The 16,557-nt window shown below is 42.9% G+C and overlaps 1 protein-coding gene and 1 long non-coding RNA gene across 23 annotated transcripts in view, besides 6 other annotated features; one reads left to right on the plus strand and one right to left on the minus strand.

Annotated features, from left to right (window-relative positions):
• Positions 1-2,564: 2,564 nt before the first annotated feature.
• LOC101927702 (uncharacterized) lies at positions 2,565-8,075 on the minus strand. Of its 2 annotated transcripts, none has more exons than NR_188027.1 (3): positions 7,984-8,075; positions 5,202-5,309; positions 2,565-2,893 (listed from the first exon to the last, which is right to left on the minus strand). It is a non-coding gene; the product is annotated as an uncharacterized LOC101927702 (long non-coding RNA). The 2 variants fall into 2 exon arrangements; NR_188028.1 differs by lacking the exon at positions 7,984-8,075 and adding an exon at positions 7,607-7,777.
• PPM1A (protein phosphatase, Mg2+/Mn2+ dependent 1A) overlaps positions 8,189-16,557 on the plus strand; it is a 53,338-nt gene continuing 44,969 nt past the window's right edge. For 12 of the 21 annotated variants that reach the window (XM_047431501.1, XM_017021383.2, XM_047431507.1 and 9 more), the window contains exon 1: positions 11,660-12,116. Coding sequence is in view for 1 of the 21 variants with exons in the window: in NM_177952.3 (NP_808821.2) it covers positions 8,287-8,485 (199 nt within the window). In the remaining 20 variants the exon portion in view is untranslated. Of the gene's footprint in view, positions 8,486-10,906; positions 10,971-11,659; positions 12,117-12,600; positions 12,921-16,557 lie in introns of those variants that run through there. The other 9 variants (XM_047431505.1, XM_047431508.1, XM_047431511.1 and 6 more) reach the window with 4 other exon arrangements.
• Positions 10,214-10,463: an enhancer, noted in NCBI's record as "active region_8473". NCBI's record gives its function as "activates an Ori minimal core promoter by ATAC-STARR-seq in GM12878 lymphoblastoid cells {active_cell/tissue: GM12878}" and the evidence as "EXISTENCE:reporter gene assay evidence [ECO:0000049][PMID:35858748]".
• Positions 11,006-11,734: an enhancer, noted in NCBI's record as "NANOG-H3K27ac-H3K4me1 hESC enhancer chr14:60715285-60716013 (GRCh37/hg19 assembly coordinates)". NCBI's record gives its function as "activates a minimal SCP1, AML or CMV promoter by ChIP-STARR-seq in naive H9 embryonic stem cells {active_cell/tissue: H9 hESC(naive)}" and the evidence as "EXISTENCE:reporter gene assay evidence [ECO:0000049][PMID:30033119]".
• Positions 11,044-11,093: an enhancer, noted in NCBI's record as "active region_8474". NCBI's record gives its function as "activates an Ori minimal core promoter by ATAC-STARR-seq in GM12878 lymphoblastoid cells {active_cell/tissue: GM12878}" and the evidence as "EXISTENCE:reporter gene assay evidence [ECO:0000049][PMID:35858748]".
• Positions 11,154-11,503: an enhancer, noted in NCBI's record as "active region_8475". NCBI's record gives its function as "activates an Ori minimal core promoter by ATAC-STARR-seq in GM12878 lymphoblastoid cells {active_cell/tissue: GM12878}" and the evidence as "EXISTENCE:reporter gene assay evidence [ECO:0000049][PMID:35858748]".
• Positions 11,604-11,703: a silencer, noted in NCBI's record as "silent region_5809". NCBI's record gives its function as "represses an Ori minimal core promoter by ATAC-STARR-seq in GM12878 lymphoblastoid cells {active_cell/tissue: GM12878}" and the evidence as "EXISTENCE:reporter gene assay evidence [ECO:0000049][PMID:35858748]".
• Positions 11,904-12,643: a silencer, noted in NCBI's record as "silent region_5810". NCBI's record gives its function as "represses an Ori minimal core promoter by ATAC-STARR-seq in GM12878 lymphoblastoid cells {active_cell/tissue: GM12878}" and the evidence as "EXISTENCE:reporter gene assay evidence [ECO:0000049][PMID:35858748]".

Genomic DNA, 16,557 nt, shown 5'->3' on the forward strand with positions numbered 1-16,557 from the left:
CTTTGTGATCATGTGAGTTAATACTTAATAAACTCCCCTTTATGTGTATATCTATTCCATTAGTTCTGTCCCTCTAGAGAACCCAGACTAAGACCATTAAATGAAATAAAGAAAATCTAGGCTGGGAGCAGTGGCTCATGCCTGTAATCCCACTACTTTGGGAGACCAAGGCGGGTGGATCACCTGACGTCAGGAGTTCGAGGCCAGCATGGCCTACACGGTGAAACCACGTCTCTACTAAAAATACAAAAAAATTAGCAGGGCGTGGTGGTGGGCGCCTATAATCTCAGCTACTCTGGAGGCTGAAGCAGGAGAATCGCTGGAACCCAGGAGGCAGAGGTGGCAGTGAGCCAAGATCATGCCATTCCACTCCAGCCCAGGCTGACAACAGCAAGATTCCATCTCAAAAAAAAAAAAAAAAAGATCTAATAGCAACAAAGACTCAACATATGAAGTGTATGTATTTGTTTCATAGGTCCATGAGCAAGAACAAATCTGAATACAGTATGTAAGAAGTTGAATTCATCCTTGGCATTATTGAGGTCTTTACTAAATCCTTTCTTAATTTATTTTACCCTATCTCATCAATACATGTCAAAGCAGCTTGCTTCCCAAGTATTAAAACTTGTCTCTGCAAAGGATCTTGAGACTTTCATATCAAGATGAAAATAACTGCCTTAGGTAAAGCCACCTTAATTATCATCCTCACTGGATAGCACAAGGCATAAATTAATTTATAGAATATTAGTCTTCAGACTTCAGATGTGTTTGGGAGAGTACTGAGAGGTTCTTGTAGACTATTTTGGGGGTAACAAGTATTGACCTGAAATCGAACCACTTAAGTGAGCTTTTATTTTACCTACACTTAACCTGGCCTTCCCACAAGATACTTCTTGCAACATTTTATGAAATTTACCAAGCAAGGTTACTTGAGTTACTGGCAAAAATATCCATATATATTAATAGTTTCCAGAAAATGGAAACATGAACCCCGGTAACAAAAGCTCTGTAAAAGACCACATTCCTACCACCAGAATGTAATCTCTCTGTGTCATTTAAAGCTGAAAGCAAATTTCACCTTCTCTTTAAGGATATATTAAACTGACATGAAAGGATTTTTCTGCCTCCACTTTTGCTTTCCTAAAATCTCTTCTCTAAAGTGCAGCAAGAGCAATACATAGATCGGATCGTGTCATTACTCTGCATAAAAACCGCCAGTGGTTTTCCATCACACTTAGAATAAAATTCTTAAAAATCCTTACTGTGGCCTATAGGCACCCTGCCTATATCATACTCTCCTTCCCTCAGCATGCCGAGACATCTCAGAATTGTCTTCCATGGACATGCCCAGCTCGCTTCCACCCCAGGGCTTCTGCCCTTTCCTGGGACATTCTTCCCCCAGATCTTCTAAGGTGGCTTCTTCCTGTCAGTCAGGTCTGCCCAGGTGCCACCTTCTCTCATAGGATTTCCCTGAGCATCTAAAGTAACCTCTCCTTCAGCCCCTCTGTCACCTTGCCTGCCCATGTCATACTCTGCTCTGCATTCTTTACAGTACTTATCCCTCTCTGCATTGACCTTGTTTGTTTTCTGTTGACCTCGGGTAAACACCATGAACGCTGCCTCTCTTCACAGTATCTCCCTCATCTACAGCTGTGCCTGGCATATTCCGGAGGCTCAACATCTACTGAATGAATGAAATACATGGTGACTCAAGTTCTATAACATAAAATTACAAATACTATATAAAATATAGAAATAGGGCTTGCAGTCTTTCTTTTGAAGCACTATAAGAAGAACAATCTAGAGTTTGGATTCAGAACCAAATGGTCACCTTTGGTACAGATGGCATGAAGGAGAAAACTCACACAAAAGGGGTCCAGCAATGGTAAGGGAGGCAGATCTTTCCAGCAGAGGATCCTTGTCTTCCCTTGATCCCTTGTAGGTCATACGTACATGTTCCATTCACAAAGCTGAAGGACTAGAAGTTAAAACAAGTCTTGAAAAGAATGATTTTTGCCCTATAACCAGCAATTCTAGAGTGAATCTATAACTAAGCCCATATAAAATATGGGATGGATAATGTCAAATCATTTACAATGTATTATTAAAAATACATGGGCCAGGTGCAGTGGCTCACGTCTGTAATCCCAACATTTTGGGAGGCCAAGGCGGGTGGAGGTCAGGAGATTGAGACCATCCTGGCCAACATAGTGAAACCCCGTCTCTACTACAAAAAATACAAAAAGTAGCCGGGGCGTGGTGGTGGGCGCCTGTAATCCCAGCTACTGGGGAGGCTGAGGCAGGAGAATCGCTTGAACCCGAGAGGTGGAGGTTGCAGTGAGCCGAAATCGTGCCACTGCACTCCAGCCTGGTGACAGAGGGAGACTCCATCTAAATATATATATATATATACACACATATATGTATACATATATATACATGTATATACACATATACATATATACATATATACTTATATATACATATATACATATATACTTATATATACATATATACATATATATATACACACACACACACTATGTGCTTAAAAGTAAGTTATGTTTTCTTTTTGTCAACTTTTATTTTTAAGTTCCGGGGTACATGTGCAGGATGTCAAGGTTTGTTACATAGGTAAATGTGTGCCATGGTGGTTTGCCGCACAGATCAACCCATCACCCAGGTATTAAGCCCAGCACCCATTAGCTGTTCTTCTTGATGCTCTCCCTGCACCTCACAGGCCCCAGAGTGTGTTGTTCCCCTTCATATGTCCATGTGTTCTGCTCGTTCAGCTCTCACTTATAAGTGGGAACATGCAGTGCTTGGTTTTCTGTTCCTGCGTTAGTGTGCTGAGGATGACAGCTTCCAGCTCCATTCCAGAGTCTACGAAGAACTTAAACAAATATACAAGAAAAAAAAATTTTAAAGTGAGCAAAGGGCATGAACATTTTCTTATGTATGTACACATTATTGGGTCAGGCAACGTGGTAGGTGCATTGTGTACAGGATGTCATTTATTTCTGCAAGGTAGTTGATATACCCTGTTCCAGAAGAGGAAACCAAGTCTGAGAGAGGTTAAATAACTAGTCTACAGCCTAGGCAAAAGAGAGATGATCTTTGAACTCCAATTCGTGCAGTGGTCAAGGGGTATCCTCTTTGATTGCAACATGTTTAGAATGTTTTAAGGTTATTATTTTTCTGAATGCCTTCAAATGTGACAAGTATGCTCTACTGATCCCCATTGTGTCAGACCCAGCCTGATCTAACATTTATATTACCAGCCTGGTCCCAGTCAAAGGAGCTGGAGTTTTCAGATTCTGGTGCTAACCTGAATTCTACCTACCACTTCTTTACAAAGAGGCCTCTGCCGTGTTTGTACCAGCGGCAGGATGACTTGAAGCTCTCCATGGACATGCGGTGGGGGTGGAGGTGTTGATGGATATTGTCTTGGCTTTTGCCTTATGTGGGATTTTTAAGAAATGTGCAGGAAAAAAAAAACAGGAAAGTGTATTAGGAGAAGGCAGGATAGAAGTTTTCCTCACGTGGAGAGAGCAGGAGAATGGAGGAAGTGACTGCTGGAAGCAAAACTCTAAGAAAAAACCAATTTTACTTGGAGCTTAAAAAAGATTTTGCTGTGTAATGTGCATTGTAACTCTTCTCCCATCTCCCCAAGGCATCTTTGGTAAAGATGTCATTGTTGGGCTTTTTGTTTTCCATGGCACAATGCACTGAAAGGGCCTCAAGGGGAAAGCAAGTCATCTCTGGAAAGCTTAGCCAGAATTTGCAACAGAAAGAGTGGGAATTTTGGAATCAGGTCCTAGGCTTGCAAAAGAGCTCTTTTTCACAGCCTTAGCTTCCTCCTTTGTAAAATGGAAAAAAAAATAGTTTCTTTTTTGCAAAGTTGTTGTGAGAATTAAATAACACTCATGAGGGGCATTGTATGGAGCTTGGCACATTCTAGGCCCTCTTTTTATATTGAACTAATATGATCTTCTCTGTAATTCCCATGAATTAATTCCAGTTCTATTTTGCAAAACATTGATTCTTTAACCTTTTTCATGTAATGGTGCTCCAGTTTGTCTAGATCCTTCAAGAAGAGAAAATGCATATCAACATCTTTGTATCTAGTTGCTCTCAAGCTTAAAATGATGTCATTTTTCAATTATTGCTTTTATTATACAGTAAAAACATATTTAGAAGAGACTCAAGATAAATATTAAAAGTTAAGCTAGTTACTGAACAAATTTCTTAAATATTTACGAAAAATAAGATCAACACACATTTGACCATGGCAGCTTTTCTAAAGGCAAAGGATCTAATTTGGTGATTAACTAACCATATTGAGCACTCATTAGGTGTCAGGGATGTACCAGTTCTTCTACTGTATTTGGGTGTTTTTAATTATGAATAACCAAATACAAAAATCAAAGTAGTTTAAACAATGAGGAGCATTTATTATCACTCTTAAAAATAAATTCCCAAGGTGGGCAATTGCACGGATGGCTCAATGGCTTTACAATGTGAAAGATCCAGCCACTTGCTATCAATTCTTTTCTCTACATTGCCTTGGTTCTTTGCAAGATAACCTTGAAATTCCAGGCTCACATATAGAAATAACAACATATGGCTGAGGAAGGCATTTTCTCTCCTGTGATTCTTCTTATTAGGGAAGAAAACCTCTCTACCCCCTCAAGACTTCTCAATTTCCTTTATCCAGAATTGGGCTACCTCACTATGTCCCCAGGCAGTGCTTCTCAATTTTTTCACACCATGACACAAATACAAAGATAACGTTTTTGTGACACAGAGGGGTACCTGGGTAATGTTGCTTGTGGCCAGTCATACCATCCCAGGGCTTCAGCAGCTCAGCCTCACTTGAATGTCCCAAGGGCTTAAGGGATCCATACCTTATCACATCTATGACCCATCTGAGACATACCAGGGTATGCTGGCACATAGATTGGTATGCTCTGCTCTAAGCTACAAGGGAGGGTGAGAGAGCATGCATCCATATACATGCTCTAGTGAGAGAAGGATCTGCCAACGAGGAGGCTCTGCCAAGTAGTAGGAAGTGGTGGGGCAACCAACCGCATCAGTCATCTTTTCAAGGGTGCCTTCATCTATTCTAATTTTCACAACACATTTTAGGAGGAAGTATTCTGTGGAGGATAAAACCAAGGCTTATAATTTAAATGACTTGCCTGAGGTCACAGAACCAGTGAGTGGTTCAATTGACACAGCAGATGCAGATCCAGGTGTGTGCTGGGAAATGTTTAACAACCACCTTTCCAAATGTAGTTCCAACATGGCTATTGGTTAATATTTTCATTTAAGATAAAAATAAAACAACAAAAATGTATGTTAGAGCTTATTAGTCAATGATGTGACTTCATTGCTAAATTGAATGTTTTTATGCTATTCACCATGTAACAGTTATAGACACGACATGTCTTTTACATTTAATCTGCATAAAACATTTTCTCTGTCACTTAAGCCTAGACCAAGCTTGTCCAACCCTGGGCCTGTGGGCCGCATACAGCCCAGGATGGCTTTGAATGCAGCCCAACACAAATTCGTAAACTTTCTTAAAATGTGAGATTTTGTGTGTGTGTGTGATTTTGTTTCGTTTTGTTTTGTATTAGCTCATCAGCTATCATTAGTGTTAGCGTATTTTATGTGTGGCCCAAGACTATTTTTCTTCTGCCAATGTGGCCGAGGGAAGCAAAAGATTGGACAACCCTGGTCTAGCCCACAACCAGCAAAGCAATAAGTGAAGCCCTCATCTGTGGTGTCCGCTGATCAAGCTACCAAAGAAAACTCACTAAATGTGGTATTGGGAAGAGATGTACAATTACATATAGGGAATTTCCACCATGCAGACACAATGCATGTAAATTGCCTAAAGAACAAAGACAATATTAAAATGTATTAACATAATTTGGAAGTGATGTTTTTATCACATACTACCTTTGTTTAAAATTTATTTCATTGGAAGTTTATCTAACTTAATTTTTATTTCTATTTTTATATTTATTTATTGATTGATTTTTGAGATGGAGTCTCACCTTGTCACCCAGGCTGGAGTGCAATGGCGCAATCTCAGCTCACTGCAACCTCTGCCTCCTGGGTTCAAGCAATTCTCCTGCCTCAGCCTCCCAAGTAGCTAGGATTACAGGCTCCCGACACCACACCTGGCTAATTTTTGTATTTTTAGTAGAGACGGGGTTTCACCATGTTGGCCAGGCTGATCTCAAACTCCTGATCTCAGGTGATCCACCCACCTCAGCCTCCCAAAGTGCTGGGAATATAGGCATGAGACACTGCACCCAGCCTATATCATTTAATTTTTAATAATGAGTATTTAACAAACAGCAGGCAAAATTTCTGAAAATTTAATAATCTGCTGTCATGAGCCAGTATAGGCCAGCTCTCCACACCACGGACTGGAACTAAGTTCAGCACTCTTTCCACTCCTGCTGCCTTTACTACCAGCATGTAAAAGCAATGATGCTCAGTATCGTACGGGGGACAAACCTGGGTACCCGTCATTAATTTCTGTGACCCTGGGTAGTTACTACCAGATGCTTAGTTTTCTCTTCTATAAAGGAGGAGATTAAGAGTCCTTGCCCTGTCTACCTGCAAGGGTTTTTGAGAGGATTAAACTGGTTAGTCTGTATGATAGTGCTTTGTAAACTGCAGAGTCAGGTTCAGATAAAAGGCTTTATGATGATGACAATTTCATTACTGTTTTCAACCAGGCCACCATTGTTAAGGATGCAGTGTGTCGCTGCTTTCAAAAGTATGGTTTAGTTTGAGATCTTCTGTAATGCCCAGGATAGACAGTAAACACCCAGAAGAATTGTTCTGAAGAAGCCCACTCAAATCTGTGCTAGTCTTTACTTAGCACAAATAGGTACCTATATTGGGATGAAAACTATTTATTTGAAGCTTATAATTCACTCTTTTCTAGCTGCTGCTGGATTGTCTGACGGGTCTTTCCTGGAGTTATGGAATACTTCTCAATTTCAATAGTTGAATAAAGGTGTTTTTTTTTCTGTCATGCAGGCTAGGGTGCAGGGGCATGATCTCGGCCCACTGCAACCTCCACCTCCTGAGTTCCAGTGATTCTCCTGCCTGCGATTCTCCTGCCTCAGCTTCCCAAGTAGCTGGGATTACAGGCGTGTGCCACCAGGTGTGGCTAATTTTGTATTTTCAGTAGAGACGGGGTTTCCCCATGTTGGCCAGGCTGGTCTTGAACTCCTGGCCTCAAGTGATCCACTCGCTTTGGCCTTCCAAAGTGCTGGGATTACAGGTGTGAGCCACTGCACCCAGACTATTTTTAATTTCAATTTTTAAAAAAGTTGCTTTGCTTTTTGCACCAGACCAACTCACCAAGTTATTTTCTATGGATTATACCCGTGCACATAATGTAGTTTCCTGATTATAAATTAAATATCCCTAATGTCCACGTTGAAACACTCTCGAAACTTAAATGACCATAAACTATTTGCCTTGAGTTTGCTGAACTTGTCTTTGGGCTGTAAGAAACTCTTTTCTGCCAAGCTCTTTTCCACATCAGGCCCTTTGCCCATGCTGACCCCTCTACCTGGAAAGTTCTCCCCTGATTATGAAGCTGACTCCTTCTCATCCTTTAGATCAAATGCTGCCTTCTTAGAGAGGTCTGCACTGAACACCTGTTTCAAGTCGTCTCCCGGATCTGTTTCCTTATTTATTTTCTTCACAGCATGGATAACAGTATGCAATTTCCTTTCTATCTGCTGACTTATTTGTCTATGCCTCTTATTATTATGTTGGCTCTTTGTGGGCAGGGCTTGCCCATTGATGTCATTATCTACCTCCAGTGTCCCACACAGTGCTTGGTGCACAATAGCTATCTCATGAACAGATGAACTTATCTGACAAGATCCACTCTAGTATTGTAAGGCTGTGGCCATATATGGCTATCTTGAGGTGAAAGCCTACCCTAAAGACTGTCCAGGACTTGGCCTCTGGTGCTCACAGTTGCCCAGGTTTCTCTCAGGTCGCAGGATGAGCCACAGTGGTAGCATAAGACTGCTGGCTGCTCCCCTCTGCCCCTCCCTAATGGGGCTGCCCAGTGATGTCACACAGGACAGGATTCTCTAATCCTTTTGATTCTGTAACAGTCCTCTAAGCAGCTAAGTTTCTCATAATGTATTATGATGTAGGGGAGGGAGGAAGGAGGGCCAGGGTAGGGGGCACACCCTCTCCCTGAATGAAATTCATTTAGGGGCACTGTCTGCTCGCATGTTCTGTTCTGGGAGAAAATGGGTAGCAGAAGCTACAATTTGTACTAAGCTAATGAAAAGAGAGAAAAGAAGAATGGGGAAGAGAAGGGCAAAGAAGGCAAAAAGAGAAGAGAAGAAAAAGGGAGGAGAGAGAAGGAGAAATGAGAAAAGAGGAAACCAAATGAAGAGGATGTGTGAGAGAAAAAAATATGAAACAGGTAGTGAGGGAGGAAGGAATTGTTGAACCTATGTTCTGGTTGGCTTTCTAACTCTTGAGTAGTGACTGGCTTCAGTGGAAAAGGATGGTGAGGGGTATTCTCAAATACTAGCCTCCTGAGGGGGTCATTTACATTACTGCATATATTTTGAGAGGCCCAGGCAAGTCTGCCTCAAGGGTGACTCTCCTGGAGAGTAATTTGGGAGCAGGAATGTAAACCTTTTTTTAAGTCACAATTGTGGTGGAAAGGGAAAGAGAGTATTGCTGATCAGATTAAGCTTTAGACTCCACACTACAGCCCCTGTCCTCACCCCAAGCCTCCCAATTACTAGGCTATCAACACACACTAAATTCAGGACTTTAAAGCCAATCTTGTAGATAATCTTTTTCTTTGTTAATTGAAATATAAACAGATTTCCAAAGCAGAGCAGGATAGTTTTATAATATACCTATAAAAATTACTAAAATGTCATCATCATGGCAATATATTCCCACTAAAATCTTACTGTGAACATCCCAAATATGTGTAGAGGCCCGGCAAAGTCTTACAGTTCAGAAGAGAACTTTCAATCCTCTTTTTTCAATGTTATTTTCCCCTTCTATCTGTCCCCCCTTCTTAGCATAAGGTTTAATAAAAGGGGATATGATGATATTAAACATATTTAATCAGACAATATTGATATCTTTTTAAAATATTAATCTTATAACCCATGAGTTTCCTAGTTCATACCAAAATGTCCCTGCAAGCTGTATTCAGAAATAAATAGTAGGAAGGTGCTGCTTTATCGGCAGTCTGTACAATGCGTAGACTCCTTAAAAATTTCTTTCTGTTCATATTTTCTATTTCTCTCCCTCTTCTTCTACAATTGACCCAGATTCTCCAAGTGCAGAACAGAGAGAAGAAAGGTGTGGAAGCCTAAAGGAAGGAAGCAGAAAGATAGGCAGGCATTTCAAGTTTTCTATGGTCCACTACCGTCACTAGTGACCCAGCTTCTGCTTATAAATAAGAAAATTTGTCTTTTAAGAGCACTCTAAATGGTTGCCATATGAGCTTTTGTAGTTCAGAATGTTAATGAGTCCACCAGCATGCTACTCATGCTGTTACTTGCCTGGAGTATTAAGGATTCCAAGAAGGTAGCGTTTCAAAGATCTCTGATCTAATTTCTTTTTTTGGGGGGTCGGGGAGATATGTGGAGAATTAGGAAATGTATCCTCAGATGATACTGAGACCAAATGCATAGTGAATTTTATTTTTATTTTGTATATGTGGAAATGATCCACGATCATCTTCTAAGGAATTCTGGCCGGGAACAGTGGCTCACGACTGTAATCCCAGCACTTTGGGAGGCCGAGGAGGGTGGATCACGAGGTCAGGAAACCGAGACCATCCTGGCCAACACGGTGAAACCCTGTCTGAACTAAAAATACAAAAAAATTAGCCAGGCGTGGTGGCAGGCGCCTGTAGTCCCAGCTACTCGGGAGGCTGAGGCAGGAGAATGGCATGAACCCGGGAGGCGGAGCTTGCAGTGAGCCGAGATTGTGCCACTGTACTAGCCTGGATGAAAGAGCGAGACTCTGTCTCAAAAAAAAAAAAAAAAAAAAAAAAAAAAGTGAAGGAAACAGAACCTTCCCCAAAGTCATGTTGAGAAAATTAGAGATGGCTTTTTACAACTTTAAAAGCAGCAGCTAAATATTTGCTGAATGCCAGAAAGAATAAATAGGTTGCTTTTGATCTAAGAGTTGGGGCAACAAAATGGTTTAGGAGATAGAAAGTAGTAGGGTGCAAATTGCTATAGTGAGCTCCTCAAGTAAAATAGAGAGGCCTTCAACATAAATTTACCTTTTTTACTGGCCAGAACTCAATTTGGCCAGTAAAAGAACCTGCCTTCTACAATGAAGTCTTTGGTTTGTGTGTGCATCAGAACATCTTTTAAAAATACGGACTTTTCTTCTAACTTCTTTTCCTGCGAATGTGGTGTAGGTCAAATTCGTGAACTGGTTAAGCCGCTGACAAGAGAGGGAAGGGCACCCCAGCCAATGGGAACCCGTGCTGGTGATGTACTGCTCCTAGGCTGCGATTCATTGGCTGCCTAGGGTTTGTCATTCTATCCCCGGCGTCTGCAAGCAGCGTGGGTCGGGTTTTCCAGCTAGCTAAACTGGATTTTGGCCGCTGGCACGTGCAGTTTCTATTAACTTTAGCTCATCTCTACCTCTTAATAGAAGCAGCTGTTATGTTTCTGATTATTCTCCTGATTTTGAAAAATCCTGTTCCCTTAACCTACCTCATTGGAGGTCGTTGGAGGTCCCCTGGGACAGAACCACGTGATTATCTAACATGTGCAAATAAATACAATGTGGAATCCCCTGAACTATAGAGGGAAAACCTGCCAGAAACTCAGAGCATGTGCCCCGTGCGTGAATCAGTTGCACTCGCACATTGGTGGGCGGTGGTAGCGTGCTTGTGTCTCTGCCCTTTGGGTCGCGAGGTGTGTGGCCGTGGCACCTGCTTGGGCTTCCTGGGGTCACTGGGAGAGGAAGGCTCTGGAGGAGTGGGACTCTGGGGTAGGGGGGTCTGGCAGCTGCCTGGGACCCACCATGGGTTCGAAGGGCAGCGGCCAGACCGCGACGGCGCCCAAGAAGGGTGGACAGCTTCGGGTCTGTGCTCGGGGCTGCGTGTACACCATCTTCGCAGGGAGTGGGGTTTGTATCTGCAGGCAGGTAGAAGAGCCAGGGCTCCGGGCGCGGACGCCGTAGGGGTAGCTTCCGAGTCCCTACTTGGCCAAGGGCCGGCACGGAGGGGCTGTCGATCTACTGGGCACCTAATAGCCGCACATTCTGTCCAGTCCCTGGCGCCGGAACGTGAAGGCCCGGGTCCTGGCTGCTATCCGGGATCCGGACGCTCCCTTCGGCTTCGGCCTGGTGCTCCAGGCCGTAAGGCAAAGGCGGCGGCAGCAGCAGCGGCAGAGAAAGAAGCTGGGTAAGGCAGTGACGTCATCTGTGGCGGCCCCTCCCCCGCCCGCCAGCCCTCACCGCAGTTCCTGCCCAACGACATCCGGGTCTCTGTAGCTGCGCGCCGCGCCGCAGCTGTAGCGGCGGCGGAGCCAGCGGGGCGGGGCGAGCGGAGGGGTGGGGGAGGGGCGACGCGGTCGTGAGCGCGCCTGCGCGGGGCCGCGCTAGAGGCGGCGGCGGCGGCGGTGGCGGCGCTAGGGACGGGAGCGCGCGCGGGAGCTAGAGAGCAGTGGTCTCGGCGCTCGTCCGGCCCGCAGCTTCGGGTCCTCAGGCGGCTGTTGCTCCGGAACGGGTGGTTGGGGAGGGGGGGGTGGGGGGACTCTAGACAGCTGAGGCGCGAAAGCGATGAGTCCTCGGCTCTTCCTCCTCCTTCTCCGGGACCCGCTCTCTGCCTCCCTCTCCAACGCCCGGATGATCTGAGCCGCGAGGGCGCCGACAGCCGGGGGCCCGGACGCAGCCCGGCTCCTCCCCTCCTCCGCCCCTTCCCCAGCCTGACCTGGCCCGCCGCTGCAGCGGTGACCCCTCCCCCGGCTGCCGCCGTCGCCGCCGCGGTGACCCCCTCCCCGGCTGCCGCCGCCGCCGCCTCGGCCGACCAGGGACCTGCCCGCCTGCGGCTGCTCCGGGTAAGTGCGGCGCTCGGGCCGACGGCGGGCTGGCGGGCGGTGCGGGCCTGCGCGGCGGCGGCGGCGGGCAGGCCTGGGGCCTGTAAACAAGCCGGGCGTCTGCCCGGGCGCTCCCGGGAGGAGACGCGACAACTCCACCCCCTGGCCGGCCTCCTCCCCCGAGCCGGGCGGCGGACGGCGAGGGGTTAACGCTCGGCGAGGGCGGTGGCGGGGAGGCGGGGGCGGGGTGTTAGTTGCGGTGGCGCGGGGAGGGGGCGCGACCCTCTGGCCGTCCGCGGCCGAGATGGGTGTTTGTGGCGGCGAAGCAGGCGACGGCCGCAGGCCGGCCTGGCCGGAGAGCGGCCTGCAGAACTTTTCCCGAGCGGGGAGGGGGCGTCCCCGCGCCCCCACCCGCTCGGGCGCGCCGCCCCGGCTGTCCTGGGCTTCAGCCCCTGGGAGGGAGGCGGGGAGACTTCCTTTGAACCGGGCTTAGCCTCGAAAAACCTAATTCTGTAGAAATTGCTTAAGGTTTTACAGGGGGCAGGGCTGAGAGACTCCTTCAGAACTCAAGTCAGTGAGTGATGCCTCTAGTTCATTCATTATTAAGGCATCGAACAAATCCATTGAAGTAAATTCCGATTTCTTATCCTTTTAACTACGTAAATCGGGTAAAACTTCTTGATGTTAGAGCTTGGTTGAGGTATGGTTCTGTTCTGCTTGTAGATTTTAAATAAACTTGGAGCCTTTTCTTGAAAGACAGCTGGCTGTGGAGAGCCTTCTACCAACTGCAGTTTTAGATACGTTTTGAAAATTTCATCACCTGAGGTATTTTTCTTCTCTCCTGAAACACCACATGGTACAAATCCACAAAAGTCATGCTTCAGTTGTCCAAGCCATGGGATCTGTGTGCTAGCCCCACCTCCCCGCAAGTTTCCTGCTCATTGGAATAATGAGCTGAATGTGTTTTAAGAAGTGGTTGGAAGAGTATGAGAGATAGGTATCATTTTCTCAAAGGAAATGATTTTGACATTATTGAGAGAAATTAGACATTTTAACAATTGTTTTGTAAAACAGTCTTTTCAAACTTGCACGTTGGGGTTTTAAACACAACCACTTTACATGTGTTGCGCTCCGAAAAGTGGAGGGATTTGTTGAAACACTACTCTGCTGAGACTTAGGGTTCCAGAGCACTTGGGAATTTAGCATAGCTTGGTCCCCAACTCTCTTTGAAACACTTTACTTTTATACTTTTATCTTGCTACATATTGGGCCTTTTCCAAAGATTGTATTTCTGTAACTCCTTATTTTACAAATGAGAAAATTGAAAATAAGGAGATTCTCTATTCTTAGATGCTGCTTTTACTGACTTAATGCTTTCTTTACCAATAAATAATTTGAAGCACAAAGTAACATTTCCTAGTGTTATAGTTTTGTTCTTGTTATGTGTAACTTATATGTATCTGATTAAACTTTCAGTCATGTAAGGATGATTACTTTTAACCTGGAAGTTTACAGCAGTACCACATTATTGAAACTATAATGAACTTCCTGCACATGGCAGTTGCCTAAGACATTTTAATTTGATATCATAAAACATTTTTAGATCGGTGAAGTAATTATATTATGGGAAAGGTGTATTAAGACTGATAATGTTTGAAGTTAACTACCTCAATTATATTTGAGAAATAATAGTCATCAAATTGCTTTTTATTTGGCTTGTATCTTTTTATGTATTTTGTGTACATATTGTATCTTTTTACATGAGGGGCTGAGGTATATGACCTGTTGAAGGGAACAGTGCAGTAGGAGACAAGGATTGTTTAGTCATGGCTGTGCTCCAAAATATCTGTGTCCATGGACAAGTCCTTTAACCTTTTGAGTTTCAGCTTCCAAATCAGTAAAGCCAGTTGGGCAGATTATATTATCACATGTACTGTCCAGTTACTACATTTAAAAATTTTTTTTTATCAATATTGTGTGTCTAGTCAACATACCGTTGCCAAATAAATGCCTGTTATGTGTCAGGCACTTAGATGTTTCAGTGTTCTAAGGCTGGATTTCTTTCTCGGTTCTGTTTTATTTAACAAATTCTAAGTTGGTGATGGTTCTTTAGAAAAGCTGTTCTTGTGTTCTTGTAAGCTATTGATTTTTCTTTTGGGATTGGGATGTGTAGGGAAACTCTTGAGAGGAAGGAGGATGGAGATTTCATGGGAGACAAAGGGTGGTTGAGACTACAGGTTTGAACAAGCACAGGACCCTTGGTAGTCTGATGTGAAGGACATTATAAAAACACATTATGAAGGTTTTTTCTGTCACTTCAAGCTGGGTCTTGTTAAACCTTTGAAAATTCTCTAATACCTCATTTGTTTTTGAAAGAAATCTATAGCAACATCATTTTGTCATGTGGTAAATATTGCTGAGCAGTCACTAAATACCTATAGTCTTTTAGTTTGTTCAGATTACATCTAGGCCATTTGTTTACTCTAATAGCTAATAGAATGTACAGCTGATTTTGGTTTAACTGTGCGTGCATATTTGTAATTTTTAACCAAGAAGTGGCATATGTCCACAAGGAACTTGTTATCTCTGAAATACTCACCCATGAGAGCTGGATTAATTTTTTAAGATGTAAATCTATGCTCATGTAGAAATAATATAACAAGGTGATATTTTGATGATCCTCTCAAATGATTATCTAACTCTTGCCTGGGCACCTGACTCTGAGTCAGTATACTCTTGAATACTTTCCATCCTTAATCAAATCAGGAGAAAGAGATGGCCATGTAAGAAAATTGGCCACGGCAGGGTTTTATAAGAGTTAAGCAAGAAGATAAAACAACACATGGCCCTGTGAAATATATAAACCTTGGAGAAGAGGAGAAGGTATAGTGAGGCAACTGGGTAAAAGTTGTGTCTTCCTCTAAGTAATTTTATGTCACAATATGTCCTGTCTTCCATCTCAAATAACAAATTTTAAAATTAAGTTGTGTTTGTTATTTTGCTATTAGCCAAGATATATAAATTAACTGACCTGGGATTATTAGCCATTTGTATATGAAATAAACTTGGGTTAACCTATATCAAAATCAAAAGATTGATTATATTCTTTACCCTTCACTCTTTCAAATGTCTTATGTTCTCCATATTACGTAACAATTTTATACTTCATTCTGAGTCTCCAGAATATATTCTTTGATGATTTTGACCTTTGAATGTCCTGGCTATCCATGTACTACCTAGATAATCTCGTTACCAGGCTTTTCTTTTGCTGAGGCAGGTCAGAGCTAGAGAAAGTAAGCAATTGAGAGAGGCAAGTTTCTGTATACCTGTATCTAAAATGTAATAGACTTTATAATTTTTGTAAGGAACTGAGGAAAGGTACAGGCTTTTAATGTGTATCAGTAAACTAGACTCTTATACAGTTTTTATAATATTAGAGATGTTTTAAGCTTCCTTGAGTAAATATGTGATAAAGGGGGGATCTTGAGTTTTTATAATTCTTAATATGTTTATTTGGAATCCATTGACCAAGTGTATGTAGTATCCATATTTAAGATCTGGATTAAAAGTGATTAGTTTCTGTGGCTGATACGATTTAGAATTAAGATCTTTTGAGACTAAACTACTTCTAGATACAGAAGAACGTCATGAAAGCCGTACTTTCTTGGCCATTTATTTGTGTTAGGCTTTAATTTTTTGCCATAACCCTCTAAAATATGTGATGTTATCTTCATTTTATAAATAAGGAAATACAGGGTCAGAGAACCTAAATAACGTGCCAGGATCAGATCTGGGTAGATATAAAAGTATTTTTCAAGATATTACTGAGTGGATTTTTCCCAATTAGATGAACCTCCTTATTACCAGGAACCAAAATTTCAAAAGCTAAACATTAACACTTACGATTCATAGATTCCTAGAGTTAAGCAAGTCCATGTTAGTTTATGTAAAGTCTTCCAATGCAAGACTAATGTTTTCTTCTAAAACATTCAGAAAAGATTTAAGAAATTAAGTTCATTTTCTCATTCCCAAAGTTTCAGAAGTTAACAAAGCTAAACATTTTATGTCTTCAAGTACCATTGTTTAGGTTAAGGAATGGAATCCATGTTAATTCTCAAGTGGTTGATATCCTTAATGAAGGATCTAGGGAAATGTTTCTGAACAGATGTAATCAGTAGAGCCACATTGAAGGGCCCCGTGGTGGACATGGTGATAAAACTAACCTTTGAAAGAAAGGACAGTTTGAGTCCCTGTTCTCCTATTTCGTAGCCAGGTGTTCCTGGGTAAGCTACTTGATTTCTTAAACCTGTTTTTTTTTATGTCAAGTGGAAATACTTTTGTCGTAAGGTTATCTTGAAGATTTAATGAAATAATTATATAAAGCATTTGAGATCTTTTCTACCATGAAGAAAGTGCCAAATAAATGGTAGCTGTTATTATTGAGTATATGAAATCTTGAGAT

This window comes from Homo sapiens, chromosome 14 (genome assembly GCF_000001405.40).
Source record: "Homo sapiens chromosome 14, GRCh38.p14 Primary Assembly".
NCBI lineage: Eukaryota > Metazoa > Chordata > Mammalia > Primates > Hominidae > Homo > Homo sapiens.